Source organism: Homo sapiens, chromosome X (assembly GCF_000001405.40).
Source record: "Homo sapiens chromosome X, GRCh38.p14 Primary Assembly".
NCBI lineage: Eukaryota > Metazoa > Chordata > Mammalia > Primates > Hominidae > Homo > Homo sapiens.
This window is the reverse complement of record NC_000023.11, coordinates 91,700,935-91,717,915: the sequence shown is the minus strand read 5'-3', so window position 1 is coordinate 91,717,915 and position 16,981 is coordinate 91,700,935.

Sequence of the window (16,981 nt, the reverse complement as noted above, 5' to 3'; positions counted from 1 at the left end):
ATTATTTTTACATTTGGTCATTTAACATAATCCCAAATTTCTTGGAGGCTTTGTTTATTTTTTTAAATTCTTTTTTCTTCGTCTTTGTCTCATTGGGTTAATTTGAAAGCCTTGTCTTTGAGCTCTGAAGTTCTTTCTTCTGCTTGTTTTAGTGTATTGTTGGAACTTTCAACTGCATTTTGTATTTCTCTAAGTGTGTCTTTCATTTCCAGAAATTGTTATTGTATCTTCTTTGTGATATATATTTCTCTTGAGAAGTTTTCATCTATATCCTCCATTGTTTTTTAATTTCTTTAAGTTGATTTTCACCTTTCTCTGGTATCTCCTTGAATAGCTTAATAATCCACCTTCTGAATTGTTTATCTGGCAATTCAAAAATTTCTTCTTGGTTTGGATACATTGCTGGCAAGCTGTTGTGATCTTTTGGGCATGTTATAGAACCCTGTTTTGTCATATTGCCTGGATTACTTTTCTGGTACCTTCTAATTTGGGTAGACTATTTCAGTGGAGAGGCTTGAAACTTAAGTCTTGCTGTTCAGATTATCTTGTCTCATGGGGTGATTCCTTGATGTGGTGCTTTCCTCCTTCCCCTAGGGATGTGGCTTTCTAAGAGCTGAACAGCGGTGATTGTTATTGTTCTTCTGGGTCTAGCCACCCAGTGCGGCCACCAGGCCTCTAGGCTGGTGCTGGGAGATGTCTGCAAAGTGTCCTGTAATGTGATCTGTCTTCAGGTCTCCCAGTAGTGGATACCAGCACCTGCTCTGGTAGAGGTGGCAGGGGAGTGAAGTAGACTCTGTAAGAGTTCTTGTTTGTAGATATGTTTAGTTTCCTGGCTTTCTAGAATGCTGGTTCTGCTAGCAGTGAAGTTGTCCTTTGTACACACTCAGGGCCTCTGGTTAGACTGGATGTTGCAAGCAGTGTAATTAGGTGTTGTCTTCTCCTTCCTGGGATCAAGATTATTTTGTCCTGGGTTGCTGTAATGGCATGAGTTGGTTGGCCTCCACCCAAGAGGTGATGCTTTCAAGAGAGTACCAGCTGTGGTAGTACTAGGGGGCTCTAAACAAACTCTAAGATGGTCATGGTAAGTATTTTGGTTTCTCAGGTGATGGACAGGGCCATAAAGCTCCCAAGAGTTTCTATGTTTTGTGTTCGGCTACCAAGGCATGTAGAGACATACCTTCAGGTGGGGGCAGGGTTAGGTGAATCTGGGCTCTCCTTGGTTGGGGCTTGCCATAGCCACTGTGAAGGATAAGGGGTGGTTCTCATGCCAATGTGGATATGTTCCAGAGGGGATCTTGGCTGCCTCTGCTGTATGATATAGTTTGCCAGGGGAGTTGGGGACAGTCAGCAGTGAGAGACCTCACCCAGCTCCCATGCAGTTGTTGAGGTCAGTCTCACTTCTGCAGTGCCCCACTCAGACCATACCCTAGGCCGTGATCTACCCCACTGAGACAGCAAACATGGCTTTTGGATCTCGCTCTTTCCCACCTGCCCATTTGGCAGCTCCTGTGCTACTGCACTCACTCATATCTGCAGCAGCTCCCGCTCATCCCCTGGACTCTGCTCAGGAAAATTTGTGTCCAGTCAAAACTACTGCCAGGTTTAGTTGGGAGCTTCCTTTGCCCCATGACCCTTCCCTAATTCTAGTGTCTGCTTTCCCCAAGGTCTCCTGTGAGATAAGAGTTAGGACTGGCTTATCTGGGCTCAAGCTGGAGACTGGGAATGCGGGCAAGGCACTTCCTGCTGCTACTTCTACTTTTATATTTCACTCAACTTTATATCCATTTCATCTTTAGGTAAGGTTAAATCCTTTTCTCATGACCTAGATTTTCAGATTCCCCAGTGGGGATGTGTATTCAGAAGTAGGTTTCCTTCCTCTCACACTTTGGGAACTCACATTTTTTTTGCCTGTTTTGTGGAATTTGCAGTGGTGTGCCACTTCTTTCAAAGGACCCTTGAATTCTTTTGGTTTTCCTGATATGTTCCTGCAGTGGTCCTTTGAGTGAAAAATCATCGTATGTCTCCACATGATGCTTTGTTTGTTCATGTGGGAGCTGCATGTTAGCCCTGTCTCCTATCTGCTATCTTTCCCAGATCTCCTTAGCTGTCATTTTCAAAAGTTGTTATTTAAATGGAGGACCATTATTCCAATCATATGCTAATAATATAGTAATTAGAATTGAATTCAAGTACTGTTTATACAAGCAAAAAAAGATCTTTACAATTTTGACTCCTTTCTTAAAAGAAAGAAAATTAACTTGACCATAAGAAAATGAGAGTAAAGTAAGTGACTGACAATGACTGACCATTTGTAACCTTTGTAGGAAATATTAATGGTAGTCTTTATTCTCATTCCCTTTAGTGACACAGTGTGAATGTATTTGTACTGTCATTAGAAATTCTGTGAAGGTTGCCAGGCGGAGGCCGAGGCGGGCAGATCACCTGAGGTCAAGAGTTCGAGATCAGCCTGGCCAACATGGTAAAACCCCGTATCTCCTAAAAATACAGAAATTAACCAGGCGTAGTGGCAGTCACCTGTAATCTCAGCTACTCAGGAGGCTGAGGCAGGAGAATCGCTTGAACCTGGGAGGCAGAGGTTGCAGTGAGCCAAGATCGCACAACTGCACTCCAGCCTGAGTGACAGAGCAAAACTCTGTCTCAAAAAAAGAAAGAAAAAAAATTCTTTGAAAGCCACTACTGTCTATAAACAGGCTTTTGAAAACCCCATCACATATATAATGGGACCATGTTCACAGTGGTCATTGCACAGTTATTTCTTGGTAGTTAAAATGAGAGGTTGATGACATAATAAGCTTTTTCTAATTTAAAGTTGTTTTTGATTGTATACAAAAGCTTAAAGGCATGTGATATACTTAAATATCATAGTCCATCTCTCTCAATCTCTCTCTAACTGCTTTTTGGCAAGGGACATAATGAGTATGTTAAACTAGGGTATATTTAGGATTGGTAGACTGAGGAGAATTCTTATAACCCAAATGTCAGTATTGGATATACTGCAGTTGTACAATGAGAAGCCTCCTAAGAGAGATTATTCTACTTTTGCTTTTTCGGAATTCTGTGGCTGAGGCAAAGGAAGGGATATGAAACATGGCTTAAAATGATTTATTGTAAAACATAGGCCTTGACTACTAACCTAGATAGTAGCAGTAGGAAAGATGCCACATTTTTATGATAAAAATAAAGTAGGAAGTGAACAAGCTTTGGAGTTCCCAAAGTTCCCTTCCTGAGTTAGTACCTTCATCTTGCAGGAAGAACTTCTCATTCCTCCTAAGCAGATGTATTCGATGTTTTTCTATGCCAGACTAATAAAAGACTTTTCATTGTTAAAATATTGGAACCTCAGGGTAAAACTCATTGCAAGGTACTTTGATTTTAACAAAGAATTTGGGAAAATAGTGTATATGAAGAACTTTCTATTTGCAGTGATTGCCTTAAAGGGTAATTCAGTTCATATTAGAAGTCAACAATTAGAGTTTTAAATGAAAGATGCTATCAAAAATAATAGCAGCATTTGGATGTTTCATAGATTCTCTGAAAATATACATTTCATGTGCAATATATGGCATTGCAACTATTATTTGGCATCTCTCATACGGTAAGTCAAATTGTTGTAGAAAAAAAAAGTTTCAGCCATAAGAGGCAGAGATTCTGAGCCTTATTTGTAAAATGGGAATGATATTTCCTCACAGGTTTGCTAGGAGACCAAATAGGATAATACATATAGATGTGCTTTGTGAATTGTAAAATGCTCAGCAGATATTAATTCTAATTCCAGCGTCATGTGCAATTAGTTCTTGTAAGAATGTTTTTTTCAACAATATCCTAAGCTTCCCGGTGAAACCAGGTATGAATCTTCATTTGATCACAGATAAAAAAGACAAATTATTCTCTGCAGCCAATAGGAGATCAATTTTTTTGAATGAGAAAGGCAATATAATTGGAGCTAGTCTGAGCCATCACAGACATCTTTCTAGAAATGGCCCCATTTTTACCTATAACTGGAATTCAATTTATGTTGTTTCGTATTTCTGAACAAATATAAGAGATCAGGAAAGAATGTGTTCTCTGGCTTTTCTTTGGTTCTCCCATGTGGCTTTCTGAATCAGTCTTTGCTGGGGAGAAATTTCAAAGAAATTTGCAATGACTCTCTCATATTCATCTTCTGAGGTAGTGTGCAAGAGGGCTCAGTGTATGAACAATAAAACTAGAACCGAACACTTAAAATTAATATAACTTTCAAGTATATAATATTGTCTTAATTAACAATGATTTAAACTTATCAGTTGAATTATTTCATTGAAGAATAAAATAATTTTATCTCCTAAGGCATGTATATATATATATATATATATATATATATATAAAATAGGTATTTGAACTTTTGAACTGCTGTCTTATAATTTTAATTATTTATGTTATATTTCTTTAACATGATTTATATTATTCTGAATTCAATTATTGTTTAGAGGAAGCTAGTTCTAAAAATTATATGTAATTATAATTATATGAATATTTTTGTATATTTATAATACAATGATATAAATATATATAATTATGTGAAATTATGTATGCATAAAATCTTTACAGGCAACAATTTTTGATATGTATTCAATTAAGTAAATATACTACATGATTTTATACTATGCATTCATAGTTTTTTTAAAATAATTTTTATTTTATTTGTGGCATTGGGGTTGAAGTTCCTTTTTTCCCTCTCTTATTATAAATTAATTACTTATTATGACTGTACTAAAATTCAAGTCTTCTAATATGTGCTATCCAGACCCATGATTCTATTAAACTCTCTATTAATAAAACATATATGTAGTTTGATACAGAAATAAATGCTTTCACTTATTAAAAATAAAAACTTGAAATAACTATTTTCTTGGCTTTGGATAAGAGACTAGACCCTATACACTCTTTCTTTATTTCAGCCTAGTCTAAAGCTGCGATGGTGACCAAAATTTTCACAAAGACTGACTCCCTGTTTCTAGCATGCAACTTCATGGATAAGTGCTGTAATGACAAGGACCAGAGAGTATGCTTTCATTATACTTCTCAATCTCTTTTCCTGCTGAGACAGCTGGACATTTTTACTGGGGGAAGAGGAAAGAAGAAAGACTTCCACAATACTTTGCACACTGTAAATTCTCAACGTGTTTGTTGAACAAATGTAAAATATTTGCAGTTCCTCAAGTAAATGCCTTATTTCCCATGTCCTATATCATAATGCACATTCATGTTAATGAATATATTATAAGTGCATGTGTATAATACAAAAATGTTTCATTTCACTAGAATTTGAGACTTCAGACAGTAGCTGATTATCCTGAGTATAAACTTGCAGGGAATAAGTGTTTGGTGGTAAGTTGTACAGTAGAATGATATTTTTGTGCACTGAAAAAGAAGAGATAATTTCAACACTTCGTATCATTGTGAAAAAGCATGGCTGTGGGAGCCATGTTAAAGCTGTGCAGGAAGTACAAGGGAAGGAAAATCAAATAGGAAAAAAGCTATCTGACAAGAGCCATGTCTGGATTTGTTTATTAGCTATACTGAAGTAAAAATTAAAGATGTATTTTATCTGAGACATTTAAACTCACTTGATTTCTTTACACTTATATTAGTGAATTTATTTTTAATTTAAAATACTGATAAATTTACATGCAGTTCCTGAAATCAGATCTTATAAAGGCATTAAAAATATGGTATTTAGTTAGAAACAGAATACCTTTTATTATATTTTGTATTTACCATACAACAGAGGAGGTTCATATTTACGTAGTTGTCACTGGTTATACAATGCATTTCTACTATTTATAAACTATATCTGCTTCATGTGGAAAGGCCAAAGGAAGATAATATATGTTATATGTAAACTGAACAACCAAGTGTCTGACACTCACTAAATTGGAGATGTCATCTTCATTTTCATCATAACCATCATATCTCTTTCAAAGGTCAAAGAGTAAGCTTTAATCCTGTTTTGTTCTTAGTCTTTTATTAAGTTTGAATTCATATAGAAAAATAATCTAGCATCCTTTGAATTCCTTGATATGCCTTTCTTTTAGCTTTTTCCTTTTGTTTTTAGTTCTCCAATAGAAGTTGCCAAATTTAGTGTGGTTTAGGTGTAACTGAACCCCACTGTATTGTATGAGAATTCCACAGTAAGTAAAGTCCTTTGTTTTCATCATTTTCTGGAGTAATTCACAGTCAACAGTGACCTGAGTCCTGTTCCTAGGCCTTAAATGACAGCATAGATATAATAGTTTAGGTTATATTTTTCTAAACTGAGTTGCCTTACTTTCATCTATCTTTAAACTTTTCTTGAAGCTTATCTGATGCTTTTCTGTCAACTCAAATAGCTATGTTATATCTTCTCACGGTTTAACACATCCATATAAATTGGCATTTTTCTCTTGTGTCATTTGACTCTGTGCCATTTAAATTATCTGAGAGGTAAGGAACAGAGCCAGAAAACAGTGTACTCTGTTGTGCAGGCCTCCTGAAGATGCGTCCTAAAATAACGTAAGAAAGGGGCATCTTTCAAGTATGCAGAATATAAGGCCACATTTGTGCTATTATTTGAGGGGTGCTATTACTCTTCCCTTGTCTTCAAATACTTTCTGCCCCACACAAAAATGTCTCCATCCTCAACTTTCTGTATTGTGAATATGTTAAGGAAATTTTAGAATGCTTTAGGTCCTAATGGATTTCCTTGGTTCAGGAGACACAACTTAAATTTCATTTTATCTGGGAATACCTTCCTGACTCCTCTAGGTAATTAGGCTTTGCCCCATTCTCCTACTGATCCCTGTCTACACTTTAGTTGTAGCATAAGACAAATTTACTTGTTTTCATGATAGCTGACACAGTGCCTGAAAGAAAAATGCTCTCAATACATGTGGGTCTACAAATACAAAATAAATAAATGAGGCAAATGCTTAGGGGAAATATTTTATTTTAAGCCTGAAATACCTCTCCATTAAATATTTGATAAGATCTGCATGTGAGTTAATTTGTTAAGAATAGGGAGTTGTGAGGAGTGAGTGGAGTGGGTGTTATCTCTCATACAAATGAGAAGGGAGTTTTCTGTGGAAAGAAGAGTAGAAAAGATTGGTAGATACTTCTTACAGCTTTTCTTACAGCCTGACTGAATTAAATCTTTGTATACCTAATCATGTCCTCTTTACCATTCCATACTATCTCCTGTAAAACAAAAATAAAATTCTAAGCCCCTTAACCATCTAAATAAACTCTTACTGTCAGCTAAGGGCATTCCAAAGTTAGCCTGAAAAACTAGTGTCAGGCCATGATGGGAAGGGGGAGCTGGACATGCTTAATTACACCCTTCTTCCTTTTGGAATTACTGGTAGAACAGATTCTTTACGTCTGATAAGAAACATTTACAATCTCTTCTCTCTGAGACCTGCTACCTGGAGGCTTCATCTGCATGACAAAACCTTGGTCTCCACAACCACTTATCACAACCCAGACATTCCTTTCTATTGGTAATAACTCTTTCAACCAATTCACAATCAGAAAATCTTTGAATCCTCCCATGACTTGGAAGCCCCTGCTTCCCAGTTGTTCTGCTTTCTGGACTGAACCAGTGGACATCATATATGCATTAACTGATGCCTTATGTCTCCATAAAATGCATAAAACAAAGTTGTGGCCTAACCACCTTGGGCACATGTTCTTACAATCTCCTGAGGCCTGTGTTACAGGCCATTGGTCAGTCATAATTTGGCTCAGAATAAATCTCTTAAAATATTTTAGAGTTTGACTCTTTGTGTTGACACTTCCTACATCTTATCACACTCTCTGACAACACTTTCTTTTCATACTCTTGCCTTTGTGTAGCAAATTTACCTACGAATAAAGGATTGAATATAAACTAGGACTTTCTATTGATATGGAGAAGGTATAGAAACATAGAAACATATTAAGAAACAAAAAGTGATAAAATTTAAAGCTGCAATATTCTGATTTGTACATATCCATTTAGAATGATTCATTTCTTTAGCAAATAAAGTATGTTTTAATTTTTCCTAAAGTGTAATATAAAATATTAAACATTTTGAGTACAAATGTTACATAAACAAAATAAAAACAGTCATAGCATTGCTCTTGGATGAATGCCTGTCACTCAGACACATGGTTTTCTGATAATCTACCCATAATGGGGAATTTGACGAAAGGTTATTTTTCTTTTTTGTTAGCAGTTTGTCAGAAGAACATAGGTGTTTACATGTGTAATATCATTTTGAGTAACAAATGCCTCTGACTTTATGACAATGTGTCCACTACTGTTTTGTTGATACAGCAATATCTTCTATGATACTTGCATTCATTTCTTATGTGTTTTACTTTTTTTAGAATTAGAAAAAATAGATCATTTTTTCCATTTAGGAAATACTTTAGGAAATGAAGTTCAATTTTAGGGCTAGAAAGTTTTAATAAAATAAAACTGATACACATACAAATAGATGTAAGGTTGAATATTAGATGTGGAAATAAAGGATTATTATTAGGATTATTATTAGGATTACTATTAGGATTATGAGTGGAGAACGCTGAAACATAATTAACATAATTTTTAAAACCCATATTTGAATATTCCAATAAAAATGTCAATTCTTGTTTCTACGTCCCTCATATATGTTTTGAGGATTCTGACATTGTTAACCTGAGAAATATCACCCTTAACAGTCCTCCTTCTAACTGCATTCCTGATTCTGTCAGCCTTTTCAAGCCAATTTTCAGTCAGTAGTGGTATTTTCTTAAAATTAACATGTGGAAAATTGTATATAATTAGTAGAGAGCATCCTTTTTTCTCTATTTGCACTTTAGGAACATTTTCCATGTTTCTAGCATTAGTCTACCTCATCCTACCAGCCCATTTTATTCACTCATGATTTGGACCATATTCACTCATGATATGGCCCATCCTTATGAATGAATGGCTACCTATGTGGTATGATGTGAAAAATACTGACCTGTCTCCTAGTTTCTTAATATCTCCCCTATGGGTACTGACAGTATTATTGACAAACTCCATTATTATTATTCCTGTGATAATTTTGAACAGTTTAAACTTTATTAGCTACAGTACCTTCATATGTACAGTGAAAATAATATTACTTATTCTGAGGTTCAAGAGAGATTATGTGTATGAAATGCTTACGTGGAGTAAATGTGGTGCTATGGCTTGAAGGTGTCCCTTTCAAAATTCAGGTTCTGTCAATATAATAGTTTTAAGAGATGGGGACTTTAAAAACTGATTAGGTCATGGGGGCACTTACCTGGCCAAAGAGATTAAGGCCCTTATAAAAGAGGCTTCACGCAGCATTAGGTGTGCTTGCCCCTCTGCCTTCAGCCATGTGAGGACACAGCGTTCTCCCCGATCCAGAGGATGCAACAATAAGGACCATCTTGGGAGCAGAGAACAGAAAGCAGCTATCAACAGAAGACCAAACTTGCCAGCGCCGTGATCTCCAACTTTCTAAGCTTCAGAGCAATGAAAAATAAATTTCTGTTCTTTATGAATTACCTAGTCTCAGGTATCCTAGTTTAACAGCATGAATGGATTAAGACATGTGATTATAATAATACTGATAAATAACTACGGTGAAAGATGTTAGCACTGCTCACCAGTATTTCTCATTCTTCTCTCTCGCTGGATACAAACGAAAATTGTACCTCCCTTCCCCTTTGAAAATAGGAGTAGCTGTGAGAATTACCTTGAGCAGGCAATAAAATATGAGTGAAAGTAATGAGTGTCACTTCCAGGTAAAGCTCTTAAAAACGTGTCTTGTTCTGCCTTGTACCATTTCCCACCACCCAAATCAAGTGGCAACAGTCCAGATAGTAGAATCTGTGTCAAACTGTGTCCCTAAGTGAGGACTATGTGAAGCAGAGCACCTCTCTCCAATCTAAACAATGGACTTGTAGAACATGTAGTAATGAGGGAGAAACAGACTTTACTGACTTTAAACAAATGATATTTTGGTGTTTAATCATAGCACATATTAGCATATCATAATTAACATAATTTATTCTGTAAGTTTCAGTATTTCATTATATTGAATATTATTTTTTTGTGGCAAAATATACAAAGACATGGGATATCTTTTCATTTACTTGGGTCTTCTTTCTTTCACCAATATTTTGTTGTTTTTAGTTTATAAATCTGTCACTTCCATGTTTACGTTTCAAGATTGTTTTGGCTATTTGGGTTTCCCTGTGACTCCATATGAGCATTAGGAAGAGTTTGTCTATTTCTGAAGAAACTATCATTTAGATTTTTATAAGAATTACATTGAAACCAAGCATAGCTTTGGGGAGTATTGATATGTTAACAATAGTAAGTTTTTGAATCTATTAACAATGGCTAGCATTCCAATTATTTACATTGCTTTTAATTTCTTTCAGCAATGTTTTTTATTTTCTTTGATATTTTCTTTGCTATCAGTCTTTTGTCTTCATGTATATCCTTACTTTCTTCATTATTTTATTTATTTCATTATTATTTTATTTTCTTCATTATTAATCTTTCACCTCCAAGTATTCCCAAGTTTTTTTTTATTATTATTTTCTATTGTGGTAAGATATACGTAGCATAAAAATCACTATTTTAATTATTTTTAAGTGTATGGGTCAATGGCATTAAGTATATTCACCTTCTTGTGTAATCATCACACTGTTTATCTCCAGGATTTTTTATCACCAGAAACCAAACCTCTGTGCCTATTAAACAATAATTCTCCATTCTCCTGACCACCAGCCCCTAGTAGCCATTATTCTACTTTCTATCTCTATGAATTTGTCTACTCTGGAAAGCTCATGTTACAGGAACCATACAATATTTTTACTTTGGTGACTGGCTTAATGTCTCCACTTAGCATAATGTCTCTATGGTTTGTCCATATCATCAGATGTGTCAGAATTTTATTTGTTTTTGTGGTTAGATAATAGTCCATTGTATGTACCTACCACATTTATTTATCCATTAATCTGTTGATTGACACTGGATTTTTTCTATCTTTTGACTATGGTGAATAATGCTGCTATGAAAATGGTGTATACATATCTATTTGAGTCCCTGCTTTCACTTATATTGGGTATATACCCAGAATTGGGATTGCTGGATCATATGGTAATAATTGTATATGGAATTGCCATACCATTTTCCATAGCACTTGTACCATGTTACACTACCACCAGCAATGCATGAGTGTTCCAATTTCACCACAGCTTCACTAACACTCGTTATTTTCTGTTTCTTTTTTCTTTGTTTTCTTTTCTTAGATAACAGGTGTCAGGAATTCAGCTGAACTAGAGGGAGAAAGAGGAGAGAGAGAGAGAGAGAGAGTGCATGCTGAGCTGTTAGATGGGGGAATATCTGATTAAAGCAGCAAGCCAAAAATGAAAGAGTGAATCCTTCAATGGCTTACTGCAATGGTATAAGCAAGAAGCTAAAACCAGAAACAGTGCAAACACACTGTGTTCCATTTCCCCTGGTGCACTCATGAAGGGTCACTTGAATCAGTACGAAAGTGGGATGTATCTTACTGTTGAGAAAGCTCCCAAATGAAAGGCTCTAGCAGTTTTATGTCTCTGGGCTTAAAGGGAAAGCTAAAAGTGGAAAAGAACTGGGTACTGAGTCAGAGTGGAAAAGTGCTTTCAAATTTTTCTCCTCCTTACTCCCATTAGGAGGCCTTGGCAGAAGGGCTTGAAGAGAACCTTTGCAAAAGGTCTCAGACAAAGAGATTGAAGAATGAAGGCACCAGGGCTAGGAGTGTACATATGTGATGAGCATGACTGGACAAGAGAGGCTGAGAACTTGATTGCAACTCTCTCTAGAGACTGTAATAAAATGGCTCTGCCTTAAGTCTGGTGTAGAGAGGGCAATTTTCCCCTGTGATGCCTGTCAGGTTGTTGTCTACAGTCTGGCCTGAAAAATTACACATAGGTTTTTAACCAGGCACCTTGCTCTTCAGTAGGCATCTTAACAGAGTGAAGTGATATCTCATTTTGTTTTGATTTGCTTTTCCCTAGTGACTAGGGATAGTAAGAATCTTTTCATGTGCTTATTAATCATTTGAATATATATATGTTGGAGATATGTTTGAGTCCTTTGTCCAATTCTTAATTGGGTTGATTGTTTTTTGTTGTTGTCCAGTTACAGAAATTCTTTATGTATTGTAGATATCAATCTCTTATCATATATTAAATTTGCAAGTATTTTTTCCATCCCACAGACTGCCTTTTCACATTTTTGCCAGCATTCTTTAATATATAAAAACTTTTTAATTTTGATGGAGTCCAACTTAACTAGTTTTTCCATTGTTCCCTGTCCTTTGGTATTTTATACAAGAAATCATTGCCAGACTCAAGGTCATTAAAGTTTTCTTTTTTTTTTTCTAAGAGTTTTCTAGTTTTAACTTTTATGTTTAGGTCTCTGATCAATTTGGAGTTAATTTTTGTACATGGTATAAGGTAAGGGCCCAATTTCTTTTTGCGTGTGTTCTGTGGATATCCAGTTTTCCCAAAACCATTTGTCAAAGAAATTGTCCTTTCCCCATTAAATGGTCATGATATCCTTGTAGAAAATCATTGTGATAATGTGAGGTAATGTATAAATATTAATATGTGTGTAATGAATGAAAAATGTGTAATAAAATCGAGGTTGTGTGTTTCCTGACATTTATGTGAGGGTTTATTTCTGGGCTCTTTATTCTATTCTACTGGCCTATGTATCTGTCTTTATACCATTACCACACTGTTATGATTACCATGGGTTTGTGGTAAGTTTTGAAATCAGGAAGTGCAAGAAGCCACTAAACTTGGTTTTTTCCAAGTTGTTTTGGCTACAGGGGTCCTTTGATATTTCATATGAATTTTAGAATAACATTTTATATATCTACAAAAAAGTAACTCATATTACATTTTGTAGTTATTATTATTTTATTGATGTATAATATTTTACATATTCATGGGGCACATATCAGTATTTTTTACATGCATAGAATGGGTAATGATGAAGTCAAGGTATTTGGAGTGTCCATCACTTTGAGTGTTCATCATTTCCATGTGTTGGTAACATTTCTAGTCCTCTTTTCTTGCTATTTTGAAATATAAAATATATCGTTGCTAAGTGTAGTCACCCTAGTCTGCTATCAAACATTAAAACGTACTTTTTCTACCTAACTGTAAATTTGTACCCATTCACTAACCACTCTTCCTTTTCCCCTCACACCCTGATACTTTTTCCTGCCTCTGGTATCTATCATTCTATTCTCTATCTCCATGAGATCAAGTTCCTTAGATCCCACACATGTGTGAGATCATGCAATATTTGTCTTTCTGTGTCTGTGTTATTTAATTTAACATAATGACCTCCAGTTCCATCCATTTCTGAAAATCACACAGTTTCACTCTTTTTATGGCTAAAAATTATCCTATGATGTATATACCACATTTTCTTTCTCAATGAATCCATTGATGGAAACTTAAGTTTATTCCATATCTTTGCAATTGAGAATAGTGTTGCAATAAACATGTGTATGCAGGTATTCATTTGATACATTGATATACTTTCCTTGGGATAAATACCCAATAGTGGGATTGGTGGATCATGTAGTAGTTCTATTTTCAGTTTTTTGAGAAATGTCCATACTCTTTTCATAGTGGCTGCATTAATTTACACTCCATACAGCAGTGTATAGAGTTCCCTTTTCTCCCTATCCATGCCAATGTGTGTTACTTTTTGTCATTTTAATAGAAGCCATTCTAACTAAGGTAACACGATATCTCATTGTGGTTTTGGTTTGCATTTCTCTGATGATTAGTGACAATGAGCATTTTTCACATGCCTATTGGCCATTTGTATGTCTTCTTTTGAGAATTGCCTAGTTATTTCTTTTGCCCACTTAAAAAGGATTATTATTTCTTTATTGTTGAGTTGTTTGATTTCCTGGTATATTCCAGATTTTATTCCCTTATTGTATGAGTAGTTTGCAAATATTTTGTCCCATTCAAACGTTATCTCTTTATTCTTTGATGGTTTCATTTACTGTGCAGAAGCTTTTTAGTTTAATATAGTGCTATTTGTCTATTTTTTAAAACTTTAAGTTCTAGGATACATGTGCAGAACGTGCAAGTTTGTTACATAGGTATACATGTGCCATGGTAGTTTGCTGCACCTATCAACCTGTCATCTAGGTTTTAAGCCCCACATGCATTAGGTATTTGTCCTAATGCTCTCCCTCTCCTTGCCCCCCACCCCCTGACAGGCCCTTGTGTGTGATTTTTCCCTCCCTGTGTCCATGTGTTCTTATTGTTCAACTCCCACTTATGAGTGAGAACATGCAGTGTGTGGCTTTCTGTTCCTGTGTTAGTTTGCTAAGGGTGATGGTTTCCAGCTTCAGACATGTCTCTGCAAAAAACATGAACTCATCCGTTTTTATGGCTGCATAGCATTCCATGGTGTATATGTGCCACATTTTCTTTTTCCAGTCTATCGTTGATGGACATTTGGGTTCGTTCCAAGTCTTTGCTATTGTGAATAGTGCCACAATAAACATATGTGTGCATGTGTCTTTATGGCAGCATGATTTATAATCCTTTGGGTATGTATCCAGTAATGGGATGGCTGGGTCAAATGGTATTTCTGGTTCTAGTTCCTTGAGGAATCATCACATTGTCTTCCACAATGGTTGAACTAATTTACACTCCCCCCAACAGTGTAAAAGCATTCCTATTTCTCCACATCCTCTCTAGCATCTGTTGTTTCCTTACTTTTTCATGATCACCATTCTAACTGGAATGAGACTGTATCTCATTGTAATATCTGGGCTGGAATGCACAGTTCCTCATGGCACAGTCCCTTATGGCTTCCCTTGGCTAGGGGAGGGAGTTCTCTGACTCATTGCACTTCACGGGTTAGGCGACAGCACACCCTGCTTCAGCTCTTTCTCCGTGGGCTGCACCCACTTTCTAACCAGTCCCAATGAGATGAGACAGGTACCTCAGTTGGAAATGCAGAAATCACCGTCCTTCTGCGTTGATCTCGCTGGGAGCTGCAGACCAGAGCTGTTCCTATTTGGCCATCTTGCCAGCCCTCCTAATGAACACATCTTAAAACCTAAGAAATTGAATCTTACTGGTACCTTGCATCTATTTCTATGCTATGCAATCTTTTGGGGGTCTTCCCTTAAATGGAAGGGTTGCAGTCATAATTTGATCTTAAATATGCTATGATGTGCTCTCAGTGTTCCTTGATACTCTTTGTTGCCAAAATTTGTAAACACTAATGTAAATTCTAAGTTCAGAGCAGTTCAGAGAAGAAAGATATTAGCTGGAGAAAATTGGAAACTTTTTTTGACAGGACAGAGATATAATCTCTTACTAAAAGGGTGATGAATAGGTCTTTGTAATCATGAAGAAGACAGTGAAGAAAATTCACGTGGAGGAAACATTCTAATAAATGGTGCAGATTTGGGAATGGATATTTCATATTGAAGGATAATGAGGATATTTCCTGGTTATATTAGAGAGTTTGTGTTGGATAGTATTGAAATAGATATATGTAAAAATAGTTTGGGGCCATATTTTGAAGTATCTTAAATGCAAATTTGTAGAGTTCGAAATTGTCTCAAAAACAATGGGAGATATTTTACGTTTTTGTTTAGAGACATGGTAGGGTATAAGGGCTATAAGATCAAGAATCATTGTCTCTTTGGTTTAACACTTCATTCAACAAATATAAATTGACACCTTACTATGTGCCATGCGTAATAGTAAGGGGTCAATTTATATCAAATAGTATTTGTTGAATGAAGAAATTGTAACACGCAAGAGACTAGATGCAGGAAGATCATTTTTGAGGCCATTCAATTAAAGACCTTGCCCAGAGTGGTAGCAGTGGGAATAAAAACGAAAATTGGGACAAATGTTATAAGCACAACAGGAAACTGTCGTTAAAAAAAAAGCATCTTAAGTACTAGCCAGCACTAAAATTGGTAACTACAGTATTTAATTTGAGTGTAGAATTCATATGTGCTAATGTAAAGAATGAAGTGGATGTTTTTGAGCAATTTGAGGTCCAAGTAAGGGTAAAGAGTGGGTTCATTGAGTATGAGGATTTGAATATTTTTTATTTAAATTTTCTCATTTGGGAACATGAATGACCTGGAGAATGGTAACAATTAGTAAGTATTATATTTCAGAATTCCTAAATAGGCATTCTTTCATCTATCATGCATTATGGCAATAAGCAGACTGCTTTTAGTATCATTCTCATCTGTAAACCGAGGATAACAGTAATTACTACATAGGGTTTGTATAAGTATTAAATGAGTTAATAAATGCAAAGCCGTTAGTAGAGTACTTGGCACATAAAATGATGAATATTTTGTAGTGGAGTTAATACTAAATCAGTAGTAACTTCTGGTTGAACATTTATCTGATAAATTGTTTCTAAAACTCAACTTCTATTAAAGGTTTTAGGACTCCTTAGATATAGAGTATTATACATATTACACCCCCCCACCCCTTTTTAACCTTTCTTGGCCTTTGGTTGAATCTATATTAAGATACTTGATTGATGTTCTTAGTCTATTACATTTTGGCTGAGTCTGCCTTGGGAAAAATAAATAATTTGTTCCTTTTAATATAGTATAATCTTCTAACTTCTTTGCTTTTCATACTAGGACATATTTGATATTGGAAGTAAATGAGGCATTAAGCCATTGGGCTTATGTATTTCTGCCAACATTGAAATCTGCTCCTGATTTCTCAAAAGAAGAAAAGAAATACCTCAAATGTCCTGAGTAATATATAAACCAGGTCATTTCCTTTAAAGGCCTTTTTTGGGAGAAAAATATAATCTTTATACTTTTGATTATTAAAAAAAAAAGTGTGAAGATTAACTTGATATGGGAATTTAGGA